The 17,106-nt window shown below is 36.9% G+C and overlaps 1 annotated feature.

The window, feature by feature from the left end:
- Positions 11,392-12,077: an enhancer, noted in NCBI's record as "OCT4-NANOG hESC enhancer chr4:111985445-111986130 (GRCh37/hg19 assembly coordinates)". NCBI's record gives its function as "activates a minimal SCP1, AML or CMV promoter by ChIP-STARR-seq in primed H9 embryonic stem cells {active_cell/tissue: H9 hESC(primed)}" and the evidence as "EXISTENCE:reporter gene assay evidence [ECO:0000049][PMID:30033119]".

Consider the following 17,106-nt stretch of genomic DNA (forward strand, 5'->3'; position numbering starts at 1 on the left):
GGGGCTAGGGGAGGAACGAGATGGTTTGGCTCTGGGTCCCCACCCAAATCTCATCTTGAATTGTACTTCCATAATTCCCATGTGTTGTGGGAGGGACCCAGTGGGAGGTAATTTGAATCATGGGGGCAGTTTTCCCCATACTGTTCTCATGGTAGTGAATAAGTCTCACGACATCTGATGGTTTTATCAGGGGTTTCTGCTGTTGCATCTTCCTAATTTTCTCTTACCATTGCTATGTAAGAAGTACCTTTCACCTCTTGCCATGATTCTGATGCCTCCTTAGCCATGTGGAACTGTAAGTCAAATTAAACCTCTTTTTCTTCCCAGTCTTGGTTATGTCTTTATCAGCAGCATGAAAACAAACTAATACACTCCCAAAGGTCAAGGATAAAGAAAGGATCTTAAAAGCAGCAAGAGAAAAGAAACAAATAACATACAAAGGAACTCCAATACATCTGGCAGCAGAATTCTCAGTGGAAACTTTATAGGTTGGGAGAGAGTGGTATGACATACTTTTATCCCAGAATAGTATATCCAACAAAACTGTCCTTCAAACATGAAGAAACAAAGTATTTCCCAGACAAACAAAAGCTGAAGGACTTCATCAACACCAGACCTACAAGAAATGCTAAAGAGAGTTCTTTAATCTGAAAGAAAAGGATGTTAATGAGCTATAATAAATCATTTGAAAGTACAAAACTCACTGGTAATAGCAAGTACACAGAAAAACACAGAAGGTTATAACACTGTAATTGTGGTGTGTGAACCACTTATATCTTGAGTAGAAAGACTAAAAGATGAACCTTTTAAAAATAATAACTACAAAAACTTTTCAAGATATTGTATAATAAGATATTTAGAAACAAAAAGTTAAAAAGCAGAGAAAAGAAGATAAAGTGTAGAGATTTTATTAGCTTTATCTTTGCTTGTTTTTTGGTTATTTAGTTCATGCAATCAGTGTTGTCATCGGTTTAAAATAATGGGTTATATTATTTGCAAACCTCATGGTAATCTCAAATCAAAAAACATACAAAAGATATCTAAAAAATAAAAAGCAAGAAATGGAAACAAATCACCAGAGAAAGTCTTCACTAAAAGGAAGAGAAGAAGAAAGGAAAGAAGGACAAGAATACCACAAAACAACCAGAAAACAAGCAACAAAATGGCAAAAGTCCTTACATATTAATAATAACATTGAATGTAAATGGACTAAACTGTCCAATCAAAAGACAAAGAATGGCTGAGTGGATGAAAAGAAATCAAGACCCAATGATCTGCTGCCTACAAGAAACAGACTTCACCTACAAAGGCAAACATAGGGTGAAAAAATATTTCATGCAAGTGAAAACCAAAAAATAGCAGAAATCGATATAGTCATTCAGACAAATAGATTTCAAGACAAAAACTAGAAAAAGTGGCAAAGGTCATTATATAATGATAAAGTGGTCAATTCAGCAAGAGGATATAACAATTATAAATTTATATGCACCCAACTGGAACACCCACATATATAAAGCAAATATTAGTGCTGAAGAGATAGACCTCAGTACAATAGCAGTTGGAGACATCAACACCTGATTTTCAGCATTAGACAGAGCATCCAGAAAAAAATAATAAACAAGGAAACACTGGACTTAATCTGCACTATAGACCAAATGGACCTAATAGTTGTTTTCAGAACATTCATCCAATGAATCCAGAATACACATTCTTCTCCTCAGCACATGGATCATTCTCAAGGATAGAACATATGTTAAGCTACAAACACATCTTAAAAAATTCAAAAAAAAAATTATATCAAGTATCTTCTCTAACAACAAAGGTAAAAAACTAGGAATCAATAACAGGAAAAATGTTGGAAACTATACATACAACACATATAAATTAAACAATGTGCCCTGAAAGGACCAGTAGGCCAATGAAAAAATTAAGAAAAAAATTGAAAAAAAATTTTAAACTAATGCAAATGGAAATACAACATATGGAAACCTGTGGGATACAGCAAAAGCAGTACTACAAGGAATGTTTATAGCAATAGGCAACTATATCAAAAAAGCAGAAAAACTTCAAATAAACAACCTAATGATGCATCGTAACAAACTTGAAAGCAAGAGCAAACCAAAATCAAAATTAGTAGAAAAAAAGAAATAATAAATATCAGAGCAGAAATAAATGAAGCTGAAACAACAACAAAAAAAGCAATAGCAAAGATCAATGAAACAAAAAGTTGGTTTTTCAAAAAGATAAACAAATTTGACAAAACTTTAGCCCAACTAAGAAAAAAACAGAGAAAACCCAAGCAAATAAAATCAGGGATAAAAAGGGAAACCTTACAACCAATGCCATAAAAATTTGAAGAATCATTGGAGAGTAATATGAGCAACTATATGCCAATAAATTGGAAAACTGGGAATAAATGGATAAATTCCTAGACACATATCACCTACCAAGATTGAACCATGAAGAAATTAAAAACCTGATAAGACCAATAATAAGCAATTAGATTAAAGTTGTAATAAAATTCTCCCTGCAAAGAAAACCTCAGAACCACATGGCTTCACTGCTGAATTTTAGCAAACATTTAAAGAAGAACTAATACCAATCCTACTCAAACTATTCTGAAAAACAGAGGGAAAGAATACTTCCAAATTCATTCTACAAGGCTAGTATTACCCTGATATCAAAACCAAGCAAAGACACTTCAAAAAAGAAAATTACAGGCCAATATCCCTGATAAACATTGATGCAAAAATTCCAAACAAAATACTAGCAAACTGAGTTCAACAACACATTAAAAAGATCATTCGTCATGACCAAGTGGGATTTAAGGGATGCAAGGATGATTCAACATATGCAAATTAATCAACAAGATACATCACATCAACAGCATGGAGGACAAAAACATATGATCATTTCAACTGATGCTAAAAAGCATTTGATAAATTTCAATATCTCTTCGTAATAAAAAGACTCAAAAACTGAGGATAGAAGGGACATACCTCAACACAATGAAAGTCATATATGATATACCTACAGTTAGTGTCATTCTGAAAAACTAAAAGCCTTTCCTCTAAGATCTGGAATATGGCAAGGATGCCCACCGTCACCACTGTTACTCAACATAGTACTGGAAGTCCTAACTAGACCAATCAGACAAAAGAAAGAAAGAAAGTGCATCCAAATTGGAAAGGAAAAAGTCAAATTATCCTTGTTTGTAGATAATATGGTCTTATATTCAGAAAAACCTAAAGACTGTGCAGAAAAACTATTCAAACTGATAAATTCAGTAAATTTGTAGGATGTACAATCAACTTACAAAAATCAATAGCATTTCTATATGCCAATACTGAACAATCTGACAACAAAATCAAGAAAATAATCCCACTTATAATAGCTACAAATAAAATAAAATACCTGGGAATAAATTCAACCAAAAAAGGGAAACATCTCTGCAATTAAAGCTATAAAATATTTTTCAAGAAATTGAAGAGGATACACAACAAATGGCAAGATATTTCATGTTTATGGATTGGAAGAATCAATATTGTCAGTGTCCACACTACTCAAAGCAATTTATAGGTTCAATCAATTTCTTTAAAAGTACCAATGATATTCTTCACAGAAATAGGAAAAAACACCCTAAAATTTCTGTAAAACCACAAAAGACTGGAGGAATCACATTGTCTGACTGCAAATTATACTACAAAGCTATAGTATCCAAAACAGCCTGGTACTGGCATAAAAGCACACACATAGACCAATAGTACAGAATAGAGAACACAGACGCAAATGCACACACCTACAGTGAACTCATTGTTGACAAAGCTGCCTAGGTTATTCACTGAGGAAAGGACAACCTCTTCAATAAATAGTGCTTGGAAAATTGGATATCCATATGCAGAATAATGAAACTAGACTCCTATCTCTTGTCATATACAAAAATCAAATCCAAAATGGATTAAAGACTTAAATCAAAGACCTAAAACTATGAAACTACTATAAGAAAACATTGGGGAAACTATCCAGGACATTGATCTGGGCAATGATTTAAATAATAGCCCACAAGCACAGGCAACCAAAGCAAAAATGGACAAATCTGATCACACAAAGTTAAAAAGCTTCTGCACAGCAAAGAAAACAATCAACAAAGTAAGGAAACAACCCACAGAATGGGAGAAAATATTTGCAAGCTATTATCTGAAAAAGGATTAATAACCAGAGTATATATGGCACTCAAACAACTCAATAGGAAAATAAATCTAACAGTCTGATTAAAAATGAGCAAAGGTGTCAATAGGCATTTCTCAAAAGAAGACATATAAATGGCAAACAGATATATGAAAAGGTGCCCAACATAACTGATCATCAGGAAAATGCAAATCAAAACTACAGTAAGATATTGTCTTCCTTAAAGTGGTTTTTATCCAAAAGATAGGCAATAGCAAATGCTGACAAAGACGTGGAGGAAAGAAAAGTCTTCTACACTGTTTGGTGGAATGTAAATTAGTGAAACCACTATGGACAATAGTATGTAGGTTTCCCAAAAATTAAAAATAAAACTGTCATACGATCTAGCAATCCTACTGGTAGATATATACCCAAAAGAAAGGTAATCAGTGTATTGAAGATGTATTTGCACTCTCACGTTTATTGCAGTACTATTCACGATAGCCATGATTTAGACCAATCTAAGTATCCATTAACCGATGAATAGATAAGGAAAATGTGGTATGTATACACAATGGTGTACTATACAGCTATAAAAAAGAGACCCTGTCATTTGCAACCACATGTTTGGAACTAGAGGACATTATGTGAAGTGAAATAGGCAAAACACAGGAAAACAAACTTTGCATGTTCTTACTTATTTGTAGGACCTAAGAAAAGTAAAACGATGACTGAATTCTTGAAGATAGTAGAAAAATGGCTACCAGAGATTTGGAAGGGTAGTGGGAGGGGAGACGTGGAGATGGATAATTGGTAAAAAAATAAATAAGACTTAGTATTTTATAGTACAACAGGATGAGTGCAGTCAATAATAATTTATTGTACATTGAAAAATAACTAAAAGAGTACAATTGGATCACTTGTTACACTAAGGAAGGATAAATGTTTGAGGTGGTGGACACCCTATTTACCCTGCTGTGATTATTATGCATTGTATGCCTGTGTGAAAATATCTCATGTACCCCATAAATATATACATCTACTTTCTACCCACAAAAATTAAACATAAAATAAATAATGAATCAATTCACTAAATAACATATCTCAATATTAAAAATCAATATTTAAAACAGAAAAGAGAATAAAAGACTATCTTTTTTGCCTTGTAATATGGAAAATTCCTAAGCAAAACACAAAATTCTGAAGCACACAGGAACAAATCAAAAGATTTACTCACACAAAAATAAATATATGTATACATTGACAAACTCCAGGTTAGCTTCCCAAGTAGCTGGAACTATAAGTGTGTGCCATCACTTCTGGCTAGTCTTAATAACTTTTTTGTAGAGACAGAGTCTAGCTGTGTTTCTCAGACTGGCCTCAAACTCCTGGCCTCAAGCAATCCTCCTGTCTCAGCCTCCCAGAGCACTGGGATTACAGACATAAGCCACCATGCCTGGCTTTATTCTATATTATTTAAACTTTTTACTGTGATCTAGTAGTTAGGGAAATAAAAAAAATTACCCATTAGATTAAAAAAACTAAAGAAAATATTTGATGATATTAAAGGTTGGCAAGAAGTTTGGGAAATACCCTGAAGAATTTCCTGAGCCAATTCCATTTCTGTGTCTGAGGCACAGAGAGTAGAAATTGGGTAGAGCCAGAGAGAGGGTGAGACTAAGATTTTAGGTGAAGATACAGTTAACAAACATTGAATATTAAATTATTACTTTTTACCTCAAAGTTTAATGGTTTGTTTCAAAGGCCAACAAAATTACTGGTTTGTTTCATAGGTCAAAACTAAATATTTTGCATCACAAACAACCTTAAGTTTGTCTCTTTTGAGTAGGGCAGACTGGGCAAGGTATAAGGTGAATTTAACTTTTTCGTTATGTAGTTCAAGTTAAAACAGCAGGCATCTTAGTTTGCAAAAGTGTATATCAGAAATGGGCAGAAGGAGAGCACCCACAAAGGGGAATCATTAAGGACAAGATCTGATTTTAAAAAGGATCTAAGAAAGTAAATTTTAGAATTTCTGTTTTTATCATCCCACTCTCTTACGTTTTCCAGGCTCAAAGTTATGTTAGAGTAAGAGTAATTCATGCTTGGAAATATTCCAATAAATAAAATATTTTATAAAGAAACATTTAAGTATATTAGTGTAATTGTTCTTTTTTTTTATTATACTTTAAGTTTTAGGGTACATGTGCACATTGTGCAGGTTAGTTACATATGTATACATGTGCCGTGCTGGTGCACTGCACCCACTAACTTGTCATCTAGCATTAGGTATATCTCCCAGTGCTATCCCTCCCCCATCCCCCCACCCCACCACAGTCCCCAGAGTGTGATATTCCCCTTCCTGTGTCCATGTGATCTCATTGTTCAATTCCCACCTATGAGTGAGAATATGCTGTGTTTGGTTTTTTGTTCTTGCGATAGTTTACTGAGAATGATGGTTTCCAATTTCATCCATGTCCCTACAAAGGACATGAACTCATCATTTTTTATGGCTGCATAGTATTCCATGGTGTATATGTGCCACATTTTCTTAATCCAGTCTATCATTGTTGGACATTTGGGTTGGTTCCAAGTCTTTGCTATTGTGAATAATGCCGCAATAAACATACGTGTGCATGTGTCTTTATAGCAGCATGATTTATAGTCATTTGGGTATATACCCAGTAATGGGAGACTTCATGTCCAAAACACCAAAAGCAATGGCAACAAAAGCCAAAATTGACAAATGGGATCTAATTAAACTAAAGAGCTTCTGCACAGCAAAAGAAACTACCATCAGAGTGAACAGGCAACCTACAACATGGGAGAAAATTTTCGCAACCTACTCATCTCACAAAGGGCTAATATCCAGAATCTACAACGAACTCAAACAAATTTACAAGAAAAAAACAAACAACCCCATCAAAAAGTGGGCAAAGGACATGAACAGACACTTCTCAAAAGAAGACATTTATGCAGCCAAAAAACACATGAGAAAATGCTCATCATCACTGGCCATCAGAGAAATGCAAATCAAAACCACTATGAGATATCATCTCACACCAGTTAGAATGGCAATCATTAAAAAGTCAGGGAACAACAGGTGCTGGAGAGGATGTGGAGAAATAGGGACACTTTTACACTGTTGGTGGGACTGTAAACTAGTTCAACCATTGTGGAAGTCAGTGTGGCAATTCCTCAGGGATCTAGAACTAGAAATACCATTTGACCCAGCCATCCCATTACTGGGTATATACCCAAGTGTAGTTGTTCTTTATTAACTACTGAAAAATATGACAATTTTTTTTTTTTTTTTTTTTTTTTTTGAGACAGAGTCTCACTCTTTCACCCAGGCTGGAGTGCAGTGGCACGATCTCGGCTCACTGCAAGCTCCGCCTCCCGGGTTCACACCATGCTCCTGCCTCAGCCTGGTCCCAGCTGAGTAGCTGGGACTACAGGCACCTGCCACCACGCTCGGGTAATTTTTTGTATTTTTAGTAGAGACGGGGTTTCACTGTGTTAGCCAGGATGGTCTCAATCTCCTGACCTCGTGATCTGCCAGCCTCAGCCTCCCAAAGTGCTGGGATTACAGGTGTGAGCCACCATGCCCGGCCCTGGAAAAATACGACAATGTATTTTTTAAATATTATGTATTTCTTATAAAACTTGTAATGAAATCACTGACAATCTAGAAAATTAAAGGAAAAAAGTTAAAGATAATCACCTCTAATATCACTGCCCTTATACAATCTTTCATATAACTCTCATACAGTTATAGCATTTTTTGCATGTGTTCTGATACTTTATGTACATATGAATATGTTTTATATAATTGTTGTAATTTGTACATGTAGTCCAGTTTCATATTTTATATTGTAATCAACTTTTATGTGATTACATAGTTCTTACTCCATTCAACAAATATTAGTTGGTTCCTTCTATATGCAGAGTATATATTGATAAAGAAAATAGGATCTTTGAGAAATTCCCAGTTTTACAAGGAAAATAGCATGAGATCATTACAATTAAATGTGCTAACTTGTATGATGGGATAAGCACAGACACATATGGGAACACCCAGAGGAAACTCCTTCCCCATGTTAAGGGTCAGGGTAGGGATCTCAAAAGAGGATGTGCCATTTAAGCTGAGAGGAAAAGGTCAAGTGAGAGGTAGGTTAATGGAAGGTGAAGAGTGTTTCAGGAAGAAGGAATGCACTGTGCAATGAGCCTGGGCCTAGCGGGAACAAACTGTAGTGTATTCAGAAAGCTGGGAGGGAGCCGTGGATACTACTGGGGTTCAGCAGGTTATGCAGAGTCTTAAGTATATGAAAGTATAATACACATCAAGAGGGGTAGCTTTTAACATATAAACATATGTTAAAAAGCCTTGAAAATGGATGTTGTAAAGGGATTAAAGGCATAAAGTCCAGGTAGAATACTGTTGAAAAATAATGAGGGTACCAGGAAGAGTAATGAGGTAAAGAGCTTGCATGGGAACTGTAAGGAGGAGAGAGGAAAAGAGGAATCAGCAGAAAGGAAGTGAGTAGAACAAAACCAAAGTGGTGGGTGACTCTAGATATTGAGAGGTAGCAACAGAATCAACTGTAATGACTGGGGACAAAGAATGAGGATGGGGAAAGCAGTGAATGGCTATACTATTTAAGATTTTAGGAAGAATGTAAAGCCTAAAACTACACCCTCGCATTCTATTTGTTTCTTATTCCCCAGAAACCAAGAATGGGTACCTTTGAAACTTCTGAAGCATCTGGCCTATTAAATATCCCCTTCTTTCCCAAGTTGCTACTATATTGATTTCTAGATTAACCTTCTGTCCACTTCAAATGACTTCCTTCATGGGATCCTCTGTCCCTACTCATCCTAAGGGTCAGAGCTCTCTCTCTCAATCTCTTTTTTTTTTTTTGAAATGGAGTCTCACTCTGTCACCCAGGCTGGAGTGCAGTGGTATGATCTTGGCTCACTGCAACCTCTGCCTCCCAGGTTCAACTGATTCTCCTGCCTCAGCCTCCTGAGTAGGTGGGATTACAGGTGTGTGCCACCATGCCCAGCTAATATTTGTATTTTTAGTAGAGACGGGGTTTTGCCATTTTGGCCAGTCTGGCCTCAAACTCCTGACCTTGTGATCCCCTGCCTTGGCCTCCCATAGTGCTGGGAGTATAGGCATGAGCCACCACGCTGGGCCAAGGTCAGAGCTCTCTACTGTTCTGTCATTAGTCCTTTTTTTCCAGTCCCTGTTTCCTTGGCAATCTCATCTATGAATGAGATAGGTGCTGATGGCGCCCAAATGCATATCTCTAAACCAGACCTTTTTCCTAAATGTCAAATCCATTTTTAAAAATGAATTACAGCATATTTAACTTATCTTTCCAACATGGGCTCCTCCACCTCAACCTAACTATAACTGAATTATTTGCATCTCCATTCAAGCTTGCTCCTTTTCATGTGTTCCTTATTTTGGAGTCTAGACCCACATCTAACAATCTAACCAGTTATGCCACCAAGTCAGAAACAGAGAGTTATCTTTAACCTTTTCTTCTCTTTCTTCTTTATCACCTCCCCAACCCCTGCATATCTAATCAGTAATCAAAACCTAAGAATTCTATTTCTTGAATATCTCTCAGATGTGTGTTCATTCGCCCAGACCTTCTCACCTTTCATTTCTGACTAACTTGTTTGTTGTTGCCTTAGTTAATATTCTCTTTATTCCTGGCGGACCTTCCTAAGTGATCTACCTTGACTCTTCCTTATGCACTTTCCAGATTCATGTCCCATTCTCCATGCACAATGATACTCGAGCCAAAAGGAACCACCTGTGGGAATTTCTCTAATGCTACCTCCACGTTCTTTCATTTCTTACTCTGTCCCTTCTCTCTAGGAGTGATCTTTATTTTTTTCCCTGATTGACACTTTCTGTCATGAGCCCACAAATCCTGGGTTATATCCTAACTGTATGCTCTCAAAATCAGTCCTTAGATTGCTCCATGATAACTAACTGTCACATAAGGCAATGAATGCAGAAGATTTACATGAATAAAAATAATTCATTTTTGTTAAGTGCTTCCTATAGGCATAGCACTGAACTGAGGCATTTACATTGATTTTCTCATTTGATACAATATGTCCCTCAGGAAAGCACTATTATTACCTTTATTTGAAGATGAGGAAACTGAGCTACAGAAACCCAAGGTCAAAAAGCTAATTAAGTGGCAGAGCATTGATTGAAACTTCAGTGAGTTTACAGCATAGTCACAACACAGGTGCACAGAAACAGAGCACTGTGTTTAATTTTTTAAAATGGAATTTAATTTGCTTCTGAATCCTCATTTCTGCTAGGCAGCAGGAAAAAAAAAAACTAAATGAAACAGATAAATAAACCAATAAACCCTCCAAGTAAAAAGAGTCAAAAGAAATCTTAATCTCTTTCCCTCAACTGCTACCCAGCTCCCAGATACAGATACCGCCACAGGCTTCAGAAAACTGCACATCCATTTTTAGACATCCAGAGCCTCAATGATTACTTGGAGGACAATAGATATATTGAGAACAATATCACAAAAGAAGATCAATAGCTACTGAGAACAATATCGCAAGCTCATATTGTGTACTTGAAGCAATCCTCAGCTCACCACCTGCTAATCATGCTCTGTGTTGATATAATCACAGCGTTAAGAAAGGAAAAGAGCCAGCTTGCCTGGAATGAAGAAGGCTTTAAGAGAGCATGGCCTGGTTAATGTGGAAGACACCAAAGGAAAAGGAGCCACATATAGTAAAGAGGACAGTGACATTGCTCTCTGGATCAGACGACAAGGAGAAATGTGATGAAGGAAGAGGCTGATAAAATAATGCTTTAGGCAAGATAGGTCAAGGAAGGCCAAAAATCCTGGACTTGTTGCCAAGTCTTCTAGATGTGAAACCTTGGGATGACAGAGTTAAGGGAACAAGATTACAGGAATATGTCAGGGGACTCAGGCAGACGGCTTGGTCTGAAGCACTTCCAAACTAGTTTTGATAGGATATGCTATCAAGAGGCTCCAGAAACAGGGTGGAGTTGGAGATGATAAATTTGGTACAATGTGCTAGAGGAACAGATAACTTCTTTTGAGGACTGTGTTTAGTCAACAGACAAGACCTCTTTCAATGGGGTCAAAAACCAGAAAGATTCTTAATCTTACCTATCAAAGATTAATTCAGTTATTGCTAATTTACACAGGGGCTCATAGGATAATAAAGTTTATTTTTATTAAATACTTCAATTTTCCAAAGTTCCTCTCTGCTGGGCCTTTGTCATCTCCGATTCCCTTTGCTTCTCTTGGGCAACAAGAGGAAGCTTCTGCATTGTCCCTGTGCTGAGAATGAGGCATCTTGTGGTTTCTGCATTGTCTTGTAGTTTCTGGGTGCTGGCGTCAGTCCTTGTTGGGCACTGTGTGACTCACTGTCTATTCTGGTGAAGGGCCACAGTTTAAGATCTCTTGCTGCTCACTCAACCTCCTGGTGGTTTTTATTGTCTCTGAGAATCTGAGTTACCTTTACCCCTCCCCCTGTATTCTGGGAGGTAAGCTCCTCTGATCTCAGAATGTTGTGGTTTATTTCCCTTGCCCTACTTCCCCCACGACTCTGTAAATTTAACACCAAGAAAGAAGAGAGCTGAGGCCCTCACCGATGTCCAGCTCTCTTCATCTCTCTTTCCAACTGCAGCACTGAGGGGGCCAAGTAGAGAAGTGGGATGAGGGTGAGGAGTAGGGGAGGGCAAGGGAGAGGGAACACTCAGGTCCTGATGACCTCAGTCAGGCTGTTGAGGAGAGCTCTGTATTTTCAGTCACATGAGAAAATTGATTTCCTTTGCTTTCTAGCTACTTTGACATTGAGTTTTCTCATGCTTTCACTATGAAAAATTCAAATTGAATCAAAGAGGTAACTCAAAGTGTTCAATAAAGTATATCCTTCAGAGCATTTTCAGGGGAAAACAGGACATTGGTGGTAGTTATGGGTTTGGAGATTTGTCAAGGTCTTAGTTCGTATCCATTGTGAGTATGTACTGCATGAAGCAGTTGATTCAAAGACACCTGACATGTACCATCCTTGCTGCCTTAGTTTATGCTTTCACAAAGTTACAGGTGATAGAGGATACTGTGAGTGATTTGCAATGGGAGTACTAGTTTGAAATTTGATATCTGAAAGCACACTTGACATATTCCTGATCTCTTTATTTCTTCTTGGTCAGTCTCAAATTGAATTCTGCCATCTTTTACCCCCTTCCTTCCTTTCTCCTTTTTTTTTTTTTTTTTTTTTTTACCACTGGGAACATAGGGCCAATATTACAGTTTGAGGATAAAAATGACTTGAAAGTTATTTTTTCTACATATATTTTTCTCCAGAAACAGAAAATATCAAGTCACCTAGGCTCCTACCCTGTAGTCGATAGAAAAAATAAGGAGGAGGGGAGGCAATATAGTTAGAAAACATTTTTGGTGATGCAATATTCCACATGTCATTACTCAACTATTAGTTTGACAAGGAATCCCTGAAAATATTATTTGACTAAAATTATGAGAAATCTAAAAAACTTCATTAACCATGTTAAATTTTTTTCTGATTAAAAATAAAAGTAGTACTTTCTCCTTATAGTGAATTTTAAAAATTTAAGAAGAACTACCATTGATATATTAGTATTGAAGCTGGCACTCATGGATTTGCAGCTCTTTGGTGGCAAATATCCTCTGGTATATAGAAACTTTGTTCATATAAACTCAGAATTCAATAGCTACATGCTGGATATCTGCTGTAAATTGGCCTAGCACAGAGATAGATCTAGCATAAATTTCTCCTTATTTTCTTTTTTGTCTCCCATCAATAATCTGCTTTGTGAAGGTGAATAAATTAGGTCAATGTCTCAGAGAACATAGGGAGCTGACAGAATTGGATGCAGAGTAGACTCAAATGGAGATTACAAGGAAAAACAGTTACTGTCCCACTGGTAATCTGCAGTTCCACCAGACCCAAGAGCAGATCTTCTGCTTTCCCAGACTTCTATGAATGTGATTTCCATGGATATGGTTAACAGAGTGTGCCCTGGTTGCAGCCTGCTGGGAGGCCGGGGCACACTCTGTTAACCATATCCATGGAAATCACATTCGTAGAAGTCTATGATTCATAGACACTGACTAACCTTTGGGCAAGTAAGTTACCTATTTTGTCAATTACTCAGTTGCCCCATCTGCAAAATGTAGAAAATGCAACACCATTAACTTATAAGGTAGAAAATCTATGCCATATGTTTAGCCCACTACCTCCTAAATAGTAAAAATACTCTAAACCTTAACTATTGCTGTCTAAATATTTTGCTCATTACCAAATATTTATAGATATAAGAACTATTGACACAGCCCCTATATAGCTTGGTGGTTTAAAGACAGTTAGGGTCCTAATAGATACTCACCCATAGTCATAATGTAGAATGTGAAACACTTTTTTTTTCTAACTTAAACATTTGTTATATGGGTATTTCCAGAGTCTTATTAGGGACTTTAAGATCCATAAACAATGAGTAAGCCCATCACTTCCCCAGATGCATGAGTGTTCCTTACTCACTTTGAAGGTCTGATATGCAGGGGTAAGAAAAACTATTTTCCTCTTTCTCTCTTCAATCTCTAAGCAAACTGCCTGCATTTCTAAAGGAAGACTAGAGTTCTGTTGCTTTGAATTTAACAAATGAAAAGAGGATCTTTCTAATTTTTTTATGCAGTAAGCCATAATTTTTAGGTACACTCTGATGTATATCATATCATCACATAAGACTCACATTAACTTCAAAGAGAACAACACACAATGGTGCACAAAGTGGTAAGAAACATTTCCAGGACATAATGAAGTATTATCTGAAGCAGGGCTGAAGCAGATGTCTTGGGAGAGAAAACAGTAGCAGCATACCAGCAGTGTGAGCTGCCATAGTCAGGCCTGGGTCACTCAGCCTTAATGAGATCATGCTGACAGCCAACCAGAAAGGCAGAGCTGAAAAAAAAATTTCATTGGAAGCATTGGAGCCACTGTTGCTAAGCTAAGGCCAGCTTGCACATGTGACTTGGCAGAGAGTTCTGCGAATTCATAAATCTTGCCAGATTTAGGGAGCTGGGGGCATTGAAAAATGACCAAGACCCATGTAGTCATGGAATGCAGTCTACAAGTGAAAATGTCATTTTGTTTTTTGCTCTAAGCAACCAATTTCCCCAATTCAACAATTGCCAAAATATGCCCATTACCCTTTTCTGACTTCTACTTTCATTCATCAGTAAACATTTACCAAACAAACATCTATAAGTCATGTGTTATATGCTTGGCAAAGGAAGAGGTGACATGGGTTCTGACCCATGAAAGCATGTGGAACCCTAGAAGATGGGCCTGGGCCACTACTCCTAGTCTGCTTGAGCAGTTTCTTCTAGCTCCTGTTAGAGGCATGCCATCCCCGAATTCTCTTCACCTGTATTACTGTCAAGTTAGAATAATGGCCTTGTGTTTGGATTGAGCATGGTGAAAAAAGATTTTTACCATCATGGAGAGTGTCTGAGCAGTAGTGAAATTCTACTCTAATTCATCCCTACCACTTCTTGGAAAAACTGTGAGGCTCCATATCCCGGGGGGTTGCATAAAGGGAGGAAAAGAGGGTCTTTATGAGGCTCAGAGTTGAGTTGAGGGTCTAGTCTCCTAAATATCATTTTATAAAGATCTTTTCAGTAATAAAAGAATCCCTGAGGCTGTAGCTCCTGGGCTAGGCCTTCCGATGGGAAATACAGAAGGCCATCAGCTCAGCTGAGTACAAAGAGTAGTGATTCTGCGGGGAGAGGGTTATGGCAGCGGGGCAGGGTGGCTGAAAGGATCAACAGCCATTATTTTTAAATCTCCCTGGATCTCTTTTGTGATACTTAAATTGTAGAGTAAAGAACAAGATGTAGTAGGAAAACAACACTTTGGAGAGAAAGCACACTTTACTGTCCCCTACACAGTATTCTCTGGAGTGGTTAACATAGAAGTTGCACCGCAGGATTATCCACTGCCCACTGCCTTTGCTGGCAAGTTGTTAAGGAATCTGATTAATGGAGGAAATATGGTTTTGGCATAACAATCAAGATGGGCTCTTTAGACAAAGCAGGATTTGTCTCCTTTACCCAATGCCCATTCAAGATGGACAAGTTGACATTTTAAAAATGAAAAACAGATGTTTCATACAAAACTTTAAAAGTGTCAGGTATAGATAAAGGACCCTGGCTACTCAGATGGACTTGATCCAAAAAGAGAATGTGAAGAAATCTGGCATTTCATCCAGTAGGCATAAGTGTGTTCTGAAACAATTATAGTTTACCTTTGAATAAAGGGAAATTATCTAGAATCAGGAAATTAGGAGAGAATGGCTTCTAAATGCCCTAAGAGTCATCACACTACTTAATTGTTATTCTAAACAATTGATCATCACATTATTATCTCCAAATCCCTTTTAATAAAAAGATAAATAAAACTCTGAACAAATTTATAACTACGCACATATTGATAATTAAGCATTTCAATTCAGGCCACTGCAAAACACTCCACAAACCATATGTAGAATATAGTAAATGTTCTTTCATCTTCTTAAAACAAAACAAAAGGGGGCCATCTGCAAAGATATGAATGTTTTTAAATTTTAATTAAAATGTGTTTTTAAGTGTCTAATGCAATGGTATCATATTAAAATTATTTGGGGAACTTTTTAAAAAGTACTTAAGCCAGGCTTCCCCCTTAGATATTCTGATTTTATTTGTCGGTAGTGGAGCTGGACACTGAAATATTTTAAAAGCTCCTCAGGTCATTTTAATGTGTAACCAGATTGGAAAGTACTGCTTTAATGTGGTTAGGCATCTAAAATGTAAAGCTGTATTATGACTTTTTCACCCTGATGTTTACTGGGATATGCCTTAGAATATGCGAAGAGCCACCCCAGTGATTATTGGTAGCAGCCAGCATTTCTGTTTATGTACTCAATAATAGTACAATGCAGTGAGTAGGAACATGGACACTAGTGTAGGAAACGCCTAGTTTGGAATCTCAGGTCTCCGCCTATTAGCCATGTGACCTTGGACAAGTTACTTATACTGTCAGTTTTTCAGTTTTTTTATGTGTTAAGAACCTACCTTCTTAAGTTGTTGTAAAGATTATATATAAATAAGTTTAATACATAATAAAGCCCTTAGAACAACTTCTGGAAAGATCATTCCTTACTATTGAAAAGGTCCCTGGATCTAAATCTTTTTCCATCTCTCCCAGTCACAGAGGGGCCAATAATATAACCTAAAAGTCATTAAACTTTTGTATTCAACACTCCCAGGATTCTACATAATTTATTTGCTTTGTTAACATAATTCTTTATATCAAAAGGTGAGGATGCTTATGAGTCTGTCTCTAGCTTTGTGTTTCTCAAGCTATGGTTCACTTCAATCACCTGAAGTGCTTCTTAGAAACAGAATTGCCTGGGCCGCATTATCTGATATTCTGAGGATGATTCTTTTGCACAATAAAGTCTTAGAATAATGACTCCAATCTATGCTATTGAAATGGGCACTGGTAAGAGAAGAATTATTGCTTTCTTCCTCTTCTAGCCCTGATGTGTCCTCAAGAAAAAAAAAACTTGAAAAAAATCAATATAAGGTATCTATTAGAGGACATGAAGATACAGTTGCCCATATGCCTATAGAGAACCTTATCAATATTGTAGATTTTGACTTTGCATGACAAAGCAGTTTAACTCTATCTCTAAAAGAACACTTGTCACTTATTTTTTTTATTTTTATTTTTTTTAGACAGAGTCTCAATCTGTCCCCCAGGCTGGAGTGAAGTGGCGTTATCTAGGTTCACTGCAGCCTCCGCCTGCACAATTCTCCTGCCTCAGCCTCCTGA

Source organism: Homo sapiens, chromosome 4 (assembly GCF_000001405.40).
Source record: "Homo sapiens chromosome 4, GRCh38.p14 Primary Assembly".
NCBI lineage: Eukaryota > Metazoa > Chordata > Mammalia > Primates > Hominidae > Homo > Homo sapiens.